General features: G+C 45.1%; 1 pseudogene across 1 annotated transcript, besides 1 other annotated feature; it reads left to right on the top strand.

The window, feature by feature from the left end:
- Positions 1-3,339: 3,339 nt before the first annotated feature.
- Positions 3,340-4,409, top strand: LOC729080 (glycine cleavage system protein H (aminomethyl carrier) pseudogene; annotated as a pseudogene). The gene has a single exon (NR_033244.1). The product of NR_033244.1 is annotated as a glycine cleavage system protein H (aminomethyl carrier) pseudogene (transcript).
- Positions 16,715-17,597: an enhancer, noted in NCBI's record as "H3K27ac-H3K4me1 hESC enhancer chr5:141262003-141262885 (GRCh37/hg19 assembly coordinates)". NCBI's record gives its function as "activates a minimal SCP1, AML or CMV promoter by ChIP-STARR-seq in naive H9 embryonic stem cells {active_cell/tissue: H9 hESC(naive)}" and the evidence as "EXISTENCE:reporter gene assay evidence [ECO:0000049][PMID:30033119]".

The raw sequence follows: 19,798 nt of genomic DNA, 5'->3' as shown, positions 1-19,798 counted from the left end.
CTTAGAACCACCAGGATCTGGCTCCTGATTCCTGGAGTCACAGAAGAGAGGTGCCAAAACATCTGGAATTGCAGAAGGAAGCAAATACAGGCAGCTGGGAGGCACCTGATCCTTGGCCTTCTACAGCAAAATACTCCTGAGTCCCTGGCCCTCCTGCTTGGAAGATGGGACCACTTTGAATCTTTTCCCTCTGTATTTCTCTTCTCCCAGTGGTGATCCTGCGGGCTCATTTCTGAATGATGATGGTCTCGAGGCAGGTGACAAGTAAGCCACAAAGGGCCACATAAACCATAACCAGCCAGTGTGAGAGAGAAGCTGCCACTGAAGGTGGGCCCTATTTACTTGGGGCTGCACTCGCGGCCTTGTGTACAGCCACTTGCAGGAAGTGAGAGCTCCAAGCTTTTGACATCAGGTCATGGTGTCTTCTGTTCCCCTCTCTTCCCTGTGGCACTGACTTCAGCTTTGTCCCTTTAATGATTCTGAGTCTGACCTCCATGGCTTCAAATTAAGTCTGGAATCATTTTAAGACTACTATGGGGTGGATACGGTGGCTCATGCCTGTAATCCCAGTACTTTGGGAGGCCGAGGCTGGCAGATCACCTGAGGTTGGAAGTTCGAGACCAGGCTGACCAACATGGAGAAACCCCGTCTCTACTAAAAATACAAAATTGGCTGGTGTGGTGGCGCGTGCCTGTAATCCCAGCTACTCGGGAGGCAGAGGCAGGAGAATCACTTGAACCTGGGAGGCAGAGGTTGCAGTGAGCCGAAATCACGCCATTGCACTCCAGCCTGAGCAACGAGAGCAAAACTCCACCTCAAAAAGAAAAAAAAAAAATGGTCCCTGACTCGTGCCACTTAAACTCGGTCTGAAACAGATACTTCCTGGCTCATCCTTTCAACCTGCATTTATTGTGGTGTTATCTCTCTAATCTGTGGACTCCTAAAGGGCAGGTTTGTATTGAATATGGTCATTTGGCATGCATCCTCTATTCTTATTTTCTTCTAATGTGTTACAGGGACCGGGAAGCTAGAATACATTTCTATGACTCCCTTACAATTAGGCACACTTGTATGACTGTAAGACAGAAAGGAGGAAGATGACTTCTTTCTGCTATTTTGGGCTTTCTGTTGGCAAGCAGGATCCTGGAGACATGGGGTTCTCCTGCAACAGCCATTCAGCTTCCTGATCTCTGCTTTCTAGTTCCTGGATGGCAGATCTCTGACAATGTGTTCTTTAACTCAACAGTTACAGTGGTGGCCTTTTGATTCCCCATCTTACTAATCATGGCAAACATATTCGCTCTCCTGTTGCAGTTTTGGGAAGTCCATTCCACAACTCCTTTCAATGATTGTGTAAACACTAATTCTCTACACTAAGTTCTCCTCAGTTCAAAATACCTAGAGTAGTTTCTGTTTTCCTGCACTGAACTAGGCCCTCAAATAGTTGTGAAATGACTGACTCCTTGGAGAAACAAAGAAAAAAAAAGTCAGTGTTGTGTTGGAGAGAAAAGATTTATTTTCTCATCCACTTCTAGGTTCATGGCCAAGATTCCAATAATAAAAAACAGATTAAGAAGAGAAAAGTATGCAAATGTATTTAATATAAGGTTTACATGACACAGGAGCCTTCATAAGGAAATGAAGACCCCCCCAAAACAGGAAAACTTGTGTATTTATTTAGGCTTAGGTTTGAGGAAGAGTAGAAGTGGTCACTCATGCAGAAGTATGATAGGACAAAAGGGGTGTGATCTAATGGTAATAAACTGGTGGTAGGGGACTTAGCAAGTCCTGTTCAGATTCTTCTGCCTTCAAGAACAAGGAAGTCCCTTTTCTTCAGTATAGGGAGGGTATCTCTGGAATGAGGATTTCATGACCTACTTCAGGAAAGAAAGGAGGGAGAAGGTCAGAGAGTAACCTTCCCAGGTTTTTTTCTTTTCTTTTTTTTGAGATGGAGTTGCACTCTGTCGCCCAGGCTGGAGTGCAGTGGCGTGATCTCGGCTCACTGCAACCTCTGCCTCCTGGGTTCAAGTGATTCTCCTGCCTCAGCCTCCCAAGTAGCTGGGATTACGGGTGCCCACCACCATGCCCGGCTACTTTTTTTTTTTTTGTATTTTTAGTAGAGACGGGGTTTCACCATGTTGGCCAAGCTGGTCTTGAACTCCCGACCTCAGGTGATCCACCAGCTTCAGCCTCCCAAAGCGCTGGGATTACAGGCATGAGCCACTGCGCCCGGCCAACCTTCCCAGGTTTTATGGCCTGCTTCCGGGAAGAAGGGAGAGGGAAAGGTGAGAGTGGTTCTCCTCTGCTGTTTTTTCAAATGCCAAGTTGCCATATTTTGGAGTACGGTATCCTGAACCCCATCATTCTCCTGTCTGAAACTTTCCCAAGAGGCCTCACAGCCCAAAAACTGAGTTGGAAGATTATTGCATAACCCATTGAACCATCTCTCAGTTCCAGGAATAACTCAGTCCAGTTAAATAGTTAACAGTTGTATCTTATTCCAGTTGTTAGGGGGTATTGCAGTCAGGCTTCTACCAAAGTTAGGCCTCTATGTAGTGTAATCAATCAGGCATTTAATAAGAGGCATTTCCAGACAAACAATAGAAAAACAAACATTAACAATTAGAGCAATCCATAAACTCAGTTTTTGAGTCCGGAAGACAGCCAGTCAAAAAAATTTCTAGATTCGAGCTCAAAGCATCTTGAGATGGTAGAATGAGGACAAGTAGTGACAAGCTGATAGATTTTCCTGGTTTGCAGTTTGCATGAGGTGTTCTGGGGAACTTTCTGAGTAGCACATAGAGCAACACGTACAAAAATTGTTCATATATGGCTGTTGTGATTTCTCTAAAGTCTATATGAAGTTGTCCAGCTTTAGCTTGCAGGGCTTTGGAAAAAGGGCAGTTTTAATTTTTAGTGATTCTCAGTCATAAGGTGGGAGAAAAATTGGAAATTGTTTGGAGAGTGATAACCAGATATTGGAGGAAACTAGAAGAATTTAAGATCCAGTCCAGATTATAGGTAGATAACAAAACCTCAGGGCCGGGTGAGGTAGCTCACGCCTGTAATCCCAGCACTTTGGGAGGCCGAGGCGGCTGGATCACGAGGTCAGGAGATCAAGACCATCCTGGCTAACACGGTGAAACCCCGTCTCTACTAAAAAATACAAAAAATTAGCCAGGCATGGTGGCGGGCACCTGTAGTCCCAGCTACTCGGGAGGCTGAGGCAGAAGAATGGCGTAAACCCAGGAGGTGGAGCTTGCAGTGAGCTGAGATCGTGCCACTGCACTCCAGCCTGGGCGACAGAGCAAGACTCCGTCTCAAAAAACAACAACAGCAGCGAACATGGCGCTGTGAGTGGTGCGGAGCGTGCGGGCCCTGCTCTGCACCCTGCACGCCGTCCCGTCACCCGCCGCGCCCTGCCCGCCAAGGCCCTGGCAGCTGGGTGTGGACGCCGTCCGTACGCTGCGCACTGGACCCGCTCTGCTCTGGGTGCGTAAATTCACAGAGAAACATGAATGCGTAACAACAGAAAATGGCATTGGAACAGTGGGAATCAGCAATTTGGCACAGGAAGCTTTGGGAGATGTTGTTTACTATAGTCTGCCTGAAGTTGGGACAAAATTGAACAAACAAGATGAGTTTGGTGCTTTGGAAAGTGTGAAAGCTGCTAGTGAACTCTGTTCTCCTTTATCAGGAGAAGTAACTGAAATTAATGAAGCTCTTGCAGAAAATCCAGGACTTGTAAACAAATCTTGTTATGAAGATGGTTGGCAGATCAAGATGACACTGAGTAACCCTTCAGAACTAGATGAACTTATGAGTGAAGAAGCTTATGAGAAATACATAAAATCTATTGAGGAGTGAAAATGGAACTCCTAAATAAACTAGTATGAAATAACGCAACCCAGCAGAGTTGTCTTAAATTAGTGGTGGATAGACTTACAATAGCAACTTTTAGCATTACCGATGGGGAAGAAAAAACTACTGTTAACACTGCTAATGAAAGAAAATGCCCTTTAACTTTCTAATGATTATAGATAAATAGAATATGCGTCTTTTTCACAATATCCTATGATTTTTAGACTAGGCTCTAGTGTTCAGAATTCATGAAATTATCCATGGTAAAAACTAGTTATAAACATTACAAAATTCAAAGATAACATTGTTATTCTTAAGCTTTAATAATATTGTAACTTGCATGTATCCATACCTGGATTTGGGATGAAATACTTAATGATCTTTCCATTGGAAATAACTGGAAGTGAAGAGGTTTTTGTTGCTTGTACAGTGTCAGATGAGGAACACCACTATCTTAATTTTACAATACACTGAATTTTTTGGTGGTGCTATTTTTATACAGTGAAGCAACAGCTTTGCAGCAAAATAATAAAATACTTCTTCATTAAAACAACAACAACAACAAAACAAAACAAAACAAAACCTCAAAAACATGAACAGGACTAGAATTCAATAATAGATAAACTTTAGTTTTCTTCTGAAATGTAATTTTTAAACCTACAGTCACCTCTGTTTCTACCAAAGATGATCAAAATAAGATGAATTTGTTTGCAAAATAGGCCCAATCTCATTAAACTTAACCTGATTATTTGCATAAGTGCAGCAAAATAGTGATTGCCCTAAAGGCTCATTTAAGTTTGCTTTGCTGGAATTTTTCATAAGGAATCTCAAATTGGACTTTTAAAACCTGACTCAAGTCTAGGAAGCCAAACCAAGGATTTCTCATCATACTTTGCCTATAATACCTATAGATTTGGGTGAATTCCTCTCTTTTTTTTTTTTGAGAGGGAGTGTCGCTCTTGTTGCCCAGGCTGAAGTGCAACGGCTCACTGCAACCTCTGCCTCCCGGGTTCAAGCAATTCTCCTGCCTCAGCCTCCCCAGTAGCTGGGATTACAGGCACCCGCCACCATGCCTGGCTAATTTTTGTATTTTTAGTAGAGACGGGGTTTCACCATGTTTGCCAGGCTGGTCTCGAACTCCTGACCTCAGGTGATCTGCCCCCCTCGGCCTCCCAAAGTGCTAGGATTACAGGTGTGTGCGCCTGGCCGAATTCCTCTCTTCTTGAAGTCCCCAAATACCCTGAGTTTCCTGGGCCTGTCGAAAAGTGGCATTACTTACTTACCTGTAAGGCAACCACATAGGGGAACCATGTAAGGGAACCATGTATGCAGACTACCAAGCCAGTTTTTCCTAAGAGGCTTTACTAGATCAATAAAGTCAGCCTTAGTTCTTTAAAGTATTCTGGTTATATCTGAAAATAGGCATTCCAGTCAAAGCCTTGGTAATATAGCCAATAATTCCAATGTGTTCTGCTACAAGGGGAACAGATTCTTTTTGAACGTATGCAGATAACTATATTGCCATAAAAATAAGGATACTCACTAATAGTTTCTGAATTCTGGAGGAATCAGGTAAGGAGAAAAAGTGATGACTTCAATTCTTATTGAAATTGAATAAAGTATACTTATAAAAGTATACTTTACCAAGTGGCTGTAAGCTATAGATAGCTTAAAAGTGAAAAAAAAAAAAGTTTTCTTAAATATGGAAAACAAAACATTAAAGAACCAGCAATGTTTCAGCCAAAAAGTCATCCCCCAAAATCATCCTCATTAGTTTATTCAGTCCCATGTAATCAAATCTTGTTCTGTTTGATCTTGCTTAGCAGTTTCATGAATTTATCAGTTTCTTCATTAGAGTTTTGAAAATTCTTACCCAGTGCAGTGGTATGATTTTTAAGTTATCAGAAACCTGAACCTGCATTCTATTCCAGGGTACTTGTCAAAATCTTTTTCATGAATGTCCTTGAAGAAGAAGCAATTTTGGACAATAGTTGATTGCAAATACTTTCGGACAAGAATAATAGTAAAACAACTGTCTGTGAATAACAACAACAACAAAAAAAACTGGCCATGGTTAAAAATATGAGAGTTCATTGTAATAATAACAAAATTGATGAAGAAAATTTTTTTTTTTTTGAGACAGAGTCTTGCTCTGTCGCCCAGGCTGGAGTGCAGTGGTGCGATCTCCGCTCACTGCAAGCTCTGCCTTCCGGGTTCACACCATTTTCCTGCCTCAGCCTCCTGAGTAGCTGGGACTACAGGAGCCCGCCACCGCAAGTGGCTAATTTTTTGTATTTTTAGTAGAGACAGGGTTTCACCGTGTTAGCCAGGATGGTCTCGATCTCCTGACCTCGTGATCCACCCGCCACGGCCTCCCAAAGTGCTGGGATTACAGGCATGAGCCACCACGCCTGGCCTGATGAAGAAATTTGATTATTCCTGTGGGATAAAACATTTTAACATAACTAAAATTATGACCGAAAACATTATATGAGAACATATCAGATTTTTAAGAATTTTATACAGTTTTTGGAACACACATTAATAATATACCCATACAGATATAATTCAAAGAACGTTAAACATCATTTCTTAGTTGACAATGTTTCCCGTGTAAATTTAACATGTCAAATAAGCCAAATTATGGCTCACGCCTGTAATCCCAACACTTTGGGAGGCCGAGGTGGGCGGATCATGAGGTCAGGAGATCGAGACCATCCTGGCAAACAAGGTGAAACCCCATCTCTACTAAAAATACAAAAAATTAGCTGGGCGAGGTGGCGGGCGCCTGTAGTCCCAGCTACTCGGGAGGCTGAGGCAGGAGAATGGCGTGAACCCGGGAAGTGGAGCTTGCAGTGAGCCCAGATCGCGCCACTGCACTCCGGCCTGGGCGACAGAGTGAGACTCCATCTCAAAAAAACAAAAACAAACAAACAAAAAAACACAAATAAGCCAAATTAGTTTAATATCTCTCTTTCTATAAGGAGAGAAAATAAATTATTTTGAGATATTCCAGAGGCCCTCTAAAAGCTCCCAAATTTAGATTGAGGTCAAAAAGATTTAATTTAGAATTTGATTTGGGGAAGTTTGTCAACAATATCAAAAGGTGTAAAACTCTTGATTAAATCAGGTTATTTGTTATCTATTTAATCAAAGTGGCAACAAAATATTTTAAAGGCAAGTACAGAAGGTTACATAGTTTTAAAAACAAACCTTTAGTTCTTTTAATAGAGAGAACTCCATTTTCTTAAGTAATCAAAGACCTAGTGGAGACCATGTGAAGCACCAAAAATTATTTTGATAGCTCACAAAACCTTTGTTTTCTATGCCAATTACTTAAAAGGTAATGAAAAAACTTTTCATAATCTCTTATCAAAAGCAAACCAATATACCCCCCATCAAAAAAACTTTGTTTTTCTTTTCTTTTTTTTTTTTTTTAATGGAGATTTATTCTTGCTGCCCAGGCTGGAGTGCAACGGCGTGATCTCAGTTCGCCGCATCCTCCGCTTCCCAGGTTCAAGCGATTCTCCTGCCTCAGCCTCCCGAGTAGCTGGGATTACAGGCATGTGTCACCACACCCGGCTAATTTTTGTGTTTTTAGTAGAGATGGGGTTTCACTGTGTTGCAGGCTGATCTCGAACTCCTGACCTCAGGTAATCCGCCCGCCTCGGCCTCCCAAAGTGCTGGGATTACAGGCGTGAGCCACTGCACCCAGCCAAAACTTTGTCTTTGACAGAGGAGACCAAATTCTAGTTTTGCATCAGTGTACTATTAATGCTAAGGCTAATTTTAAAAATGTCTTCTGAATAAATCTATCCCGTCTCAGATAGCTTTGATCATACCAGATAAGACTCCTTTCCTAAGATTTCCTTCCTCAAACCCATTACAACCATTTAAAAATATCCATCAAGCCGGCCGTGGTGGCTCATGCCTGTAATCCCAGCACTTTGGGAGGCTGAGGCGGGTAGATCACAAGGTCAGGCGTTTGAGACCAACCTGGCCAACATGGTGAAACCCCATCTCTACTAAAAAAATACAAAATGAGCCGGGTGTGGTGGCACACACCTGTAGTCCCAGCTACTTGGGAGGCTGAGGCAGAAGAATCGCTTGTACCCGGGAGGCGGAGGTTGCAGTGAGCTGAGATCATGCCACTGCACTACAGCCTGGATGACGGAGTGAGACTCCATCTCAAAAACAAACAAAAAATATATATATATATCCATCAACATTTCTTTCCCTACATTTTTCTCTTTCTCATTCTGGGAAGATCAGTCATTCTACTTTATGGCAGAATTAATTACTCGTTTTTCCCCTAACAGAAAAACACATCCTCATGCCTTATAATTTTCCTTACCAACAATGTATCTTATTTTCCTTGCATTATTTGCATACAGAGTTGTTACACTTATAATTTCTAATAGTTTTAATTCCATATATTAATTTGAATTTTAAATTTTAGTATCCTTAATTTCTAGTGAAAACTAAGAAGTAAGCAATTGTGAACTGTCACATACCAACATTCTGTAGATTAACACCATTTCATAATTTCTAGAAATACATGCATCTCCATAATACAATTTTTCAATGTGGCACAGAACATTTTTACTGAGACCCAAATATATTTCGTTCTTCTGAAATAAGAAGCAAAAGTAGATAAACTCATGTTCAGTGATTAATGTTTCAGCATTATATCTTACATAGAAATGACCCATTTGATAAATGTTTGTTACTCATTTTAATTTAGTATAACTTTAAGCTTGAAGTTGCCAAAAAAATTTTGGAATTATTTTTAACTGGAAATGTTTTATAAAACGTAATTGTTGTTGGAAAAGATTATTTATAAGCTTTTATCCCACTTATATCTCATTTAATTCACTTGTTCTTAACAATTATGCTTGAATTAAATTACTCATGAAAATTTCATGAGACATTAAACAAAGCTAGCCACCATCTTAAGTTATTTTTCTTGTTGACAAATTAGGCAAGTATCAAAAATACCACAGAAGCAAAGAAACTAAAAGTTAAATATATAAGTGGAGATAATATAAGCTTGTTTGACTAGTAAACCCAAGTGGAAAAAAATGTATGCCTGCATTATATTTAATGCTAACAATTCTGAAGACGTTTCTGATTTTCTTTTACGAACAATTTAAAAACTAATCTTATTTCTTGAAAATTTACCCAAGTTGGCGAGGCGTGGTGGCTCACGCCTGTAATCCCAGCACTTTGGGAGGCTGAAGCGGGCAGATCGCGAGGTCAAGAGTTCAAGACCAGCCTGGCCAACATAGTGAAACCATGTCTCTACTACAAATACAAAAAATTAGCTGGGCTTGGTAGCAGGCACCTATAATTCCAGCTACTTGGGAGGCTGAGGCAGGAGAGTCGCTTGAACCCGGGAGGCAGAGGTTGCAGTGAGCTGAGATAGTGCCATTGCACTCCAGCCTAGGCAGCAAGAGTGAAACTCTGTCAAAAAAAAAAAAAAAGAAAGAAAGGAAAAAAGAAAGAAAGAAAGAAAGAGAAAGAGAGAGAGGAAGGAAGGAAGGAAGGAAGGAAGGAAGGAAGGAAGGAAGGAAGGAAGGAAGAAAATTTACCCAAGTCATCTAAACTCAAAAAAGCTTGGGGTTAGTTTCTGTTTCTTTCTTTTTTTTCAGAGACAGAGAGAGAGATGAGGCCACTATGTTGCCCAGGCTGGTCTTGAACTACTGGACTCAAGGAATTCTCCAAGAGATTCTCCTGCCTCAGCTTCTGAAGTAGTTGAGACTGCAGGATCATGCCACTACACCTGGCTTAGACTCTACATTTCTGAGAGTTTTAGGAATACTTTATACAAGCACTCATTTATTTCCAGACCAATTTGAGTAGAATTCCTTTAAGGAATTTTATAAATAAATGTGATAATACTATCCAGAGGTAGGAAAAATACCAGCTATGCATAACATACAAATACATATACATATGTAAACATATGGACAGATGGCAAAGATCTTACAGGTTTTTTTTTTTTTTTGAGACGAAGTCTCGCTCTGTCACAAGGCTGGAGTGCAGTGGCACAATCTCGGCTCACTGCAACCTCTACCTCCCTGGTTCAAGCGATTCTCCTGCCTCAGCCTCCCGAGTAGCTGGGACTACAGGCGCATGCCACCACACCCAGCTAATTTTTGTATTTTTAGTAGAGACAGGGTTTCACCATGTTGGCCAGGATGGTCTCGATCTCTTGACCTCGTGATCCGCCCACCTCGGCCTCCCAAAGTGCTGAGATTACAGGTGTGAGCCACTGTGCCCAGCCGATCTTACAGCTTTTAACATGTTAGCCATGTGCCAGGTACAATAATTCAAAACACACTAATTTATAAAATAAACGGCTAGATCTAAATTGTGTTTTTGGCAGGTATAACAAGTTAAGATTACCTTCTCAGTTGTCTAAAGTTTTTTACCAATATTTGTGGGAAAGACTTTTAAGATTTTTTACTTACCTGGTTTCAAATAGCTCTTTTTTTTTTTTTTTTCTGATGACAATTCCCTCCCTGAAGTTTGTATTTCCCAAAGGTAACTATTAGGTTCTAAAGAAGACAGGGTAGAAAATTTACAACTCAATGGCACAGAAAAAGAATGCAAGTTTTGGAGGCATATTTGTCTATTATCAGAGGTTAATCTTATGGAGGCTATGGACTAATTTTAGGTGAGTGACTGAGGAGACATCTAGTGGCTGTCGGCCTCCAAAGCCCATCTAAGTAGACAAACATCCATTTTTTGTTTCCAAATAGTATTTTTCTTTCTCTCTTTTAGCCTCAAGTGGTTACTTTCAGGAGTCTCTGAGTATCTTGAGAGCCGGAGACCTAAAGTTCCAGTAATTGAGGTTCTGGAGAGGGAAGGGAGAAAGGTGGCATATCAAGAATTCAAGGGAACTGAAAGAAGACCAAAGCAAAAGGAGGAAGGAAAAGCAGAAGTAAATGGAAAGAAGAGGTCTTAGAGGAACTAGTCTGGGGGGATCTTCGCTTCCCAAAGAGGCAATGAAGCTGAAGAAAGAGGGAGATGGAGAGAGTTGACAGAAAATATAGTCAGAAGGAGTTTGGGAAGGGGGCAAAGGGTCAGTCAACCGAGAAGTTCCCATGAGAAAAGCAGGGTTCAATAGACAGAACAGAAATGCCTTAAAATACATATATTCTGGGCCAGGCACAGTGGCTCACGCCTGTAATGCCTACACTTTGGGAGGCCGAGGTGGGAAGATCACGAGGTCAGCAGATCGAGACTATCCTGGCTAACACCGTGAAACCCCATCTCTACTAAAAATACAAAAAAAAAATTAGTTGTGCGTGGTGGCAGGCACTTGTAGTCCCAGCTACTCGGGAGGCTGAGGCAGGACACTGGCGTGAACCCGGGAGGTGGAACTTGCAGTGAGCCAAGATTGTGCCACTGCACTCCAGCCTGCGTGACAGAGCAAGACTCCGTCTCAAACAACAACAACAACAACAACAACAACAACAAATATATATATATATATTCTGGGCCAGGCATGGTGGCTCACACCTGTAATCCCAGCATTTTGAGAGGCCAAAGCGAGCAAATCACTTGAGGTCAGGAGTTCAAGACCAGCCTGGCCAACATGGTGAAACCCCGTCTCTATTAAAAATACAAAAATTAGCCAGGCGTGGTGGTGCACCCCTGTAGTCCTACCTACTCAGGAGGCTGAGGTATGAGAATCGCTTGAACCTGGGAAGTGGAGGTTGCAGTGAGCCAAGATCACACCACTGCACTGCAACCTGGGTGACAGATCGAGAACTTGTCTCAAAAAAAAAAAAAATATATATATATATATATATATTCCGAATATCAACTTTCTTTTTTTTTTTTTTTTTTTTGGTGAGACGGAGTCTTGCTCTGTCGCCCAGGCTGGAGTGCAGTGGTGCGATCTCGGCTCACTGCAAGCTCCGCCTCCCGGGTTCACACCATTCTCCCGCCTCAGCCTCCTGAGTAGCTGGGACTACAGGGGCCTGCCACCACCGTGCCCGGTTAATTTTTTTTTTTTTTTTTTTTTTGTATTTTTAGTAGACACGGGGTTTCACAGTGTTAGCCAGGATGGCCTCGATCTCCTGACCTCGTTACGCGCCCACATTAGCCTCCCAAAGTACTGGGATTACAGGTGTGAGCCACCACACCCAGCCTACCAACTTTCAATTAAACCAACTTTCCACCATAGAGCTATTTATTTATTTATTTATTTATTTTTATTTTGAGACGGAATCTCACTCTATCGCCCAGGCTGAAGTGCAGTGGCGTGATCTGGGCTCACTGCAAGCTCCACCTCCCGGGTTCATGCCATTCTCCTGCCTCAGCCTCCCAAGTAGCTGGGACTAGAGGCACCCGCCACCATGCCTGGCTAATTTTTTGTATTTTTAGTAGAGATGGGGTTTTAGGGTGTTAGCCAGGATGGTCTCGATCTCCTTACCTCGTGATCCGCCCGCCTCAGCCTCTCAAAGTGTTGGGATTACAGGTGTGAGCCACTGCGCCCGGCCAAGCTCTTTAAAAAACAAATTAAATCATGCCTGTAATCCCAGCACTTTGGGAGGCTGAGGCAGGCGGATCACGAGGTCAGGAGATGGAGACCATCCTGGCTAACATGGTGAAACCCCGTCTCTACTAAAAATACAAAAAATTAGCCGGGCATGGTGGCAGGCGCCTGTAGTCCCAGCTACTCCAGCCTGGGTGACAGAGCAACACTCCATCTCAAAAAAAAAAAAAAAAATTAAAATTAAAAAATAAACAAATTAAAAACTTTCAAATATCCTTTTTCTTATTTCAATCAAAGACAGCAATCAATTGACTCAGAACCAAAACCAATAAGTCTTTCTTTTTTTTTTTTTTTTTTTTTTTCTGAGACAGAGTCTTGCTCTGTTGCCCAGGCTGGAGTGCAGTGGCACCATCTCGGCTCACGGCAACCTCTGCCTCCTGGGTTCAAGCGATTCTCGTGCTGCAGCCTCCCAAGTAGCTGGTACTACAGATGCACGCTTCCATGCCTGGCTAATTTTTGTATTTTTAGTGGAGATGAGGTTTCACCATGTTGGCCAGGATGGTCTCGATCTCCTGACCGCAAGCAATCCACCTGTCTTGGCCCCGCAAAGTGCTGAGATTACAGGCATGAGCCACCGTGCCTGGCCCAAAACCAATAAATATTTTATGACTTAACCATGGATGAAAGAGATATCCTCAAAAGAGGGTACAAAAAGATTCAGTCCTCCCAAGATCCAGAACCACCCCCAAAGATAGCCTAAAGAAAACAAAGGCCTTCAGAGCCACAGGTGGTAAAGGATGCTGTTTATGAAAATGGTTTCTCCAATTTCCCATGAAATGTAGAAATGTAAGACACTTCCAGTCACATACCCACTAATCTGTGACACCAAACTGGTGCTACTGGGATGGAACTTTCCCAGCAGTAACCAAACAATGAAGATTAAAATGAGGAAAGCTGGGCCAGGTGTGGTGGCTCACACACCTGTAATCCCAGCATTTTGGGAGGCCAAGGCAGGTGGATCACCTGAGGTCAGGAGTTCAAGACCAGCCTGGTCAACATGGTGAAACCCTGCCTCTACCAAAAAAAAATACAAAAAATTAGCTAGGTGTGGGGATGCGCGCCTGTAATCCCAGCTACTTGGGATGTTGAGGCAGGAGAATCGCTTGAATCCAGGAGGTGGAGGTTGCGGTGAGCCAAGATCGTGCCACTGTACTCCAGCCTGGGCGACAGAGCAAGATTCTGTCTCAAAAAAAAAAAAAAAAAAGGAAAAAAATGAGGAAAGCCCCTAATGGATGGACTGGGATTTCTTTTCTTTTTCTTTTTTTTTTTTTTTTTTTTTTTTTTCTGAGACAGAGTCTCGCTCTGTTGCCCAGGCTGGAGTGCAGTGGCATGATCTTGGCTCACTGCAACCTCCGCCTCCCAGCTTCAAGCGATTCTCCTGCCTCAGCCTCCTGAGTAGCTGGGATTTCAGGGTGTGCAACACCACGCCCTGCTAATTTTTGTATTTTTAGTAGAGATGGGGTTTCACCATGTGGGTCAGGCTGGTCTTGAACTCCTGACCTTGTGATCCGCCCACCTCGGCCTCCCAAAGTGCTGGGATTACAGGAGTGAGCCACCAGGCCTGGCCAGACTGGGATTCTTATTAAGAGTGGACAGGCAAGCAGAAGTATGACTGGACAAAGGAGGTATAGTCTAGTGGTAGTGAACTGGAGAAAACTTAGCAAGGTCTCTTTGTTCAAATTCTACTTAGTAACTCTGTGTAACTTGAGGACAAGGATGCTCCTTTCCTCTGGGTATGGGGAGGATACCTCTGGAATTAGGGTTTTATGTTCTACCTCAGGAGAAAAGGAGGAAGACGGTCAGAGGTTTTTGGCCCACTTCCAGGAAGAAGGGAGAGGGACCTTCCTGCTTCTGCTGTTTTCTCAAATGTCAAGTTGCCACATTTTGGTGTAGTGTATCCTGAACCCATCACCAGTATGGTGATAGGTAGGAGGCCAGTTAAGCAAACACAAAAACACATTATCATAAATCAGCTTCTCATACTAACAACCAGTAAGCATTCCCATTTAGAATATAACAAAGACATCCAAATTCATCAAATCATACATATTAAATACATGTAGTTCTTTGTATATCAGTTGTATCTCAATAAAGATGTTTAAAACAACAAATTCCAAAAGAGAGAGAGGCAAGGACAGAGCAGACAGGTAGGCAGGCAAAGAAATAGACTTGTATTTTAAGAGCTTAAATAGAGGGGATAGAGAGGCAAACAAGCACACAGTTCAAACGTAGGAGTTCAGAAGTCAGCTATAGAGTTACTGTTGAATGTGAATTAATGTGTGTGTTCCTCAGACACACACACACACATATACACATACACACAGCATGACAGAATTCTCTTTCCTAGTTTGAAAATTCAGCCCTTTTTTTCACTATGATGGCCCCAAATGGGATGAAGAATAATGTAGAAGGTGAAAAAATGTATGTGTATTAGGAGGATAAGAATCAAAGTGAAGTGATAAGACATCAGTGAAAGAAGGAAAAATGGAGTAGGAACAATGCAGGAAGAACTGGAAGCCGGTGGGAGGGTAAAATGAGAGTAAACTTCAGTTGAAAGGAAGGAAGGAAGGAGGTAAAGGAAGGGGTGTTTGAGGAACAAATAGGTAAGAAAGCCAACTTCCTCACTCCTGGATAACTTACTCTCTATTGTACAGTACCTGGAAAACAGTAGGCATTAGATAAACATTGAACAGAAGAACAAAGTCAGGAAGGCTATGGGAAGCAGGATCAAACAGGGTAAGGTATGTGGGTAGTAATATCTACTAACATTCACTGAGTTTTACCATAAGCTGTACACCCGGCTAACCACTTTACATGATTTATCACTTTAAATCCTCACCAACACTCCATGAGGTAATTCACAGTATCCCCATTTAGTAGATGAAGAAACGGAGGCTCAGACAGTTCAAGTAACTCATCCAAGGTCACCTGAGTAGTAAGTGGCAGAGTCAGGATTTAAATGTTGACTTGTCCGACTTCCAAACCAGTGTTTCTCACCACTATATTAAATGTATTCCTAGCCAGGCACAGTGGCTCATGCCTGTAATCCCAGCACTTTGGGATGCTGAAGCGAGCAGACTATTTGAGGTCAGGAGTTCGAGACCAGCCTGGCCAACATGGTGAAACCTGTCTCTAGTGAAATATAAAAAAATAGCCAGGCGTGGAGGCGCGCAGCTCTAATCCCAGCTACTCGGGAGGCTAAGGCAGGAGAATCACTTGAACCCGGGAGGCAGAGGTTGCAGTGAGCTGAGATGGCGCCACTGCACTCCAATCTGGGCGACAGAGTGAGGCTCGGTCTCAAAAAAAACAAAAAAAAACAAAAACAAAAAAATTCCCCTTTGAGTAAAGGGTAGGTCTATACCCCTCTCGTTTACCACCCCATACACATAAAAGTTTGGCAAGGACCACAAAAGACATGGTACCAAACCTAGCCTATTAGTGAGGAGAGTACTAGGAGTGGAGGAATGGGGGCAGGCTCCCGGGCTGAGGAAGGACCATATTAAAGCCTCATCTTCAACAACACAAAGAAAAACAATTTGAAACTTAATCATCTCCCAGAATTATGATCCCTTCCCGCAGCGGGGAGCACATTAGCAGAGCTGAGAAATGATAATTCAGCAGCCCCCAACCCAGCAGGGAAGGAAAGAGAGGAGGAGGGAGGAGAGCCGGAGGAAAACAGAAACAGAGGCACAGAGAAAGATGGGGAACGCGGGGAGAGGCAAGGCCTGACCTCTCATGGCTCTTCTTCCTGCCCAAGTCTGAGACAGGGTTCCAGGAAAGTGGGCTGGTGGCACTTGGCCCTTCAATTGTGCCCAGATAGGGCAGGGGTCAAGGTGCTCCCTAGGTCAGTTCTCAGCACCGATGGATCCCCACGTTCGGAGCTGCATCCAAGCTCATCCGGGCCAGGCGTGGTTTAGTGGTCTTAGCCTGGTTGGGGGAAAGCTCCCGAGCCACCAGAGCTGGCTCTGAGCACCCGCTTGTCCGATGGCACCTAGGCGAATCAGCGGTCCGTCAGGACCCGAGGCGCTGGACAGCTCCCGGTCCCAGAAATGGTTCTCCGGAGTCCAGCAGTGAGGTGGGGTGAGGCTGCCCCCGCGCCGCGGCAGACCCCACCCTCCGGAGAAGCGCGAAGGTTGCTGGGAGCTCCTGGGGAAAGGGCTCGGGGTCGTGAAAGGGTCCCGATGGAGATCTGGTGGGGACCTTGAGACTGGAGCCCCGGGGGCAACTTCTCCAGACGCATTCCTTCCTTCTGAGTCCAGACCCCTTCACTCCCCACACCACCCCCCGCTGGGGACAATGGCGCCTTCAGCCCCCAGAGATGAATGGGGCCTTTGAGAGCCGCATGCCACGGGGTCAGCGGCGGCCACCGGGTCCCCGGGGGCTGCCCAGCCTCCAGATCAAGGAGACTCTGGTCAGGGAGAGTGGGGAGCTCTTCGGGGAAGAAAGGAATTCCATGGTCCCTTTCTTAGAGACTAGTGGGCCCCGGAGAAGAGATTCATCTGGATCAGGCAGTTCCTGGTAAAGAAGGATTTTAAGGGGGTGGGGAGGGAGGAACCCCCACTACCTGTGGCAGGGAAGGGGAGATTCTGTGCCCCTTCCTCAGGAGGCAGCAAAGCCAGCTACCAAGCTTTTGCTACCTCTTCCCCCCACTCCACGCTCCATCCCGCCTGGTTCCCCAAATCGGGGTCCCACCCTCAGTTTGCATGGGGCAGCTCCCCGTTTCTCTCGGTCCTTTCATCGGGGGCTGTCCCTAAGGCTTGGTCCCTCCTTCCTGCTCCTGTCTCCCCTCCGATTCTTGCACTGCACAGCCTACCCAGTTTCTATGGAAACAGGCTGGGAAGGCACTGCCAGGAGGCCAAGGCCACTACAGCTCTTGGGGGGAGGGGAAGATAGAAATGGAAAGAGAGACGCAGGAGGCGAGTTCTGGCCATTCCCGGAAGCGGGTGGAGATCTGTTGGGAGTGAGCCTTCACTGCCAGAGGGGTGGGGCAGAAGGAGAGGTGTGATTAAGTGATGTGACTGAGACAGAGTTGAGGGGCTCCTCCTCATTCCCCCAATTCCCAGTGCTCCAGACATCTAGACAAGCCTCCTCAGAGGGGAAAGTGGTGGATGAAGAAGGAAAAGAGACAGGTAGTACCAAGAGCTCTGCCCATTTCTAACTTATGTGAGGCTCTATCCTTTTACCCCTCCTGGGGACATGCCCACTTGAGAGGAGGTCTCCAGGGAACTAGAAGGCTCCCAAGAAGTGGGAGGGAAAATTGGAGTGCGGTGTGAGTGGTCAGGGATGTTCAGGAATCTCCCCTAGGAAGGTGAGCTAGAGGTGGGCAGAGGCCTCGGAATGTCAGCTACTTTTATGGTACCCCTCTCTGGCACCTCCACTGAGGAGTTGGTAGGGGGCTGGAGACTGTCAGCTTCCTCCCCTCTGTTCATCCCATCAGAACGTTGGGCTATGAGAAAACAAAAGTGGCCTAGTGGGGGTTGGGTGCACAGAAAGGGAGATAAGCCTAAGGCAAGAAGGGCCAGAAGAGGGGTGGGTGAATGAGTGAGTGCGGATGCTTGTGGCTAGGGCAGGGAGGGAGCTTCTTAGAAGCTTCATCTGCCAGCTCCTGGGAAGTGATCCCCAGCCCTCACCCTCTCCCGATGCTCCCACCTCAGGCAAAGCTGCCCCTTGGACAGGAACTATTGGAAATCTCAGAGTCCTGGGAGATTGTGCTGTGGGGGATTCCTTGGAAAGGGGCCTTCTAGGTTATCAGAACGTTCAGCAAAGCTTCCCTGGGGGAGAGGGGTAGTGAAACAGGTACCCTGGAGCCTAGGGTTTCCTGGATCTGAGCCATCGGCTCTCCCTGACCATAGTCCCCAGAACAGTCGTCTTGGTGTTTGCTTATTTTGGTTATTTTTTGATCAGATATTTTGGCACTGAGCACACTGCCTCCTGTTGCCATGGCAGCCGTGACAGGGGCTGAGGCACCGTGAGAAAAATACCAAAATTAATGAGTGAGCGAAAGTGCAGCCGAGAGAAAAACAAGGTTAAAAAAAGAGTTAAAACAGTAATGAAAACAGGCTTTCCAGCTCCACAGCAGAGCAGCTGCTGAGGCCTCCCCAGAGCAGCAGCCCCCACCCAGCCTAGAGCTCCTGGCATCTCCCAGACCTCAAGGCAGGACTCACTTGGCTTCCCCCACCCAGCTCGTCACTGACCCAGCAACAGCCACTTGGGGACCACCCTATGCACAACAGTAGATCAGCTCCAACAGTACATCAGCTTCCATCTCAGGTAGTATCCTGCCTCCCAGAACAGCTTGTCATCTCCTAAACAATAGAGTCTCAGCCACAGCCCCCACACAACAATGGTCCAGCAAAATTACCAGGAAATGGCCTCCTAGCTACACCCAAGCTTTAAAGTTATAGCTGCAGGCATCCCAGCTAGAGTCCAGCACACAGTAACAGCCCAACCACAATTCTGAGCAACAGCATCTTAGCTATAGCCAATCCCCAGTATGCTGTCATCACAGCTACAGCTCCAGGACCAATAGCAGCTCAGCTACAGTCCTATACACAACAGTAGCTCTGCTCCTATCCCAGGTAACAGCCTGTCTCCCAGGTACAGGCTCCTCGCAACAGCCTCTCATCTCCTAGGACCTAGGCAATGGATCCAGTTACAGTCCCATCTACATCATATTAACAGGGAACAGCTTCTCAGCTACAGCCAGTCTCAGGTGTGCCAGCCTCATATCTATAGCTTCAGGCCCAACAGCTTATCAGTTACAGTTCTCCCTCAACATGCACACACACACCCATATACACACAGCTTGGCGATAGTTTCTCAGGTAATCTTATTGGCTATAGCCTAGGCACACCAGCATCAGAGCACTGCAACAGTGTCCTAAGTACAATCAGAGGCAGCAGCCTTGGTGTTACAGTTCCAGGCCCTACAGCATCCTAGTTCACTTAGCCACAGCCCATCCCAGGTACACGGATATCACAGCAAGCACCCCAACCATTCCCATACCCAGCATCACCCTGGTTCCAATCCCTGGCCACAGTCTCAGCTGGAACTCAGGCACCATCAGTTTCAGGAGCCTCCCCCAGTGCTTCACTTGCCAAGCAGGTCCTCCTCCCACTTTGGTACAGGGCCAGAAGTCTGACTTCTCTCCTCTTCAAATGCCACCTCCCTTGCTCCCCAACCATCCTCCCAGTCCCTGCTTGCTCACCTGCCCTCTTTCCTGGGGAAAAAAGGCCCCAATTCTCATATCTACATTGTCCCTGACTCAGGGGCACAGAGCCCAGCCTGGCAGCTGGGGTAGGAGGGGCTGGGGAGCAGGGAGAAGAGTAGGCACACCCTGGTGCTGCTGCTGTGGCCCAGTTCTGCTCC

Source organism: Homo sapiens, chromosome 5 (genome assembly GCF_000001405.40).
Source record: "Homo sapiens chromosome 5, GRCh38.p14 Primary Assembly".
NCBI classification, from domain to species: Eukaryota; Metazoa; Chordata; class Mammalia; order Primates; family Hominidae; genus Homo; species Homo sapiens.
This window is presented reverse-complemented; position numbering and strand designations above follow the sequence as displayed.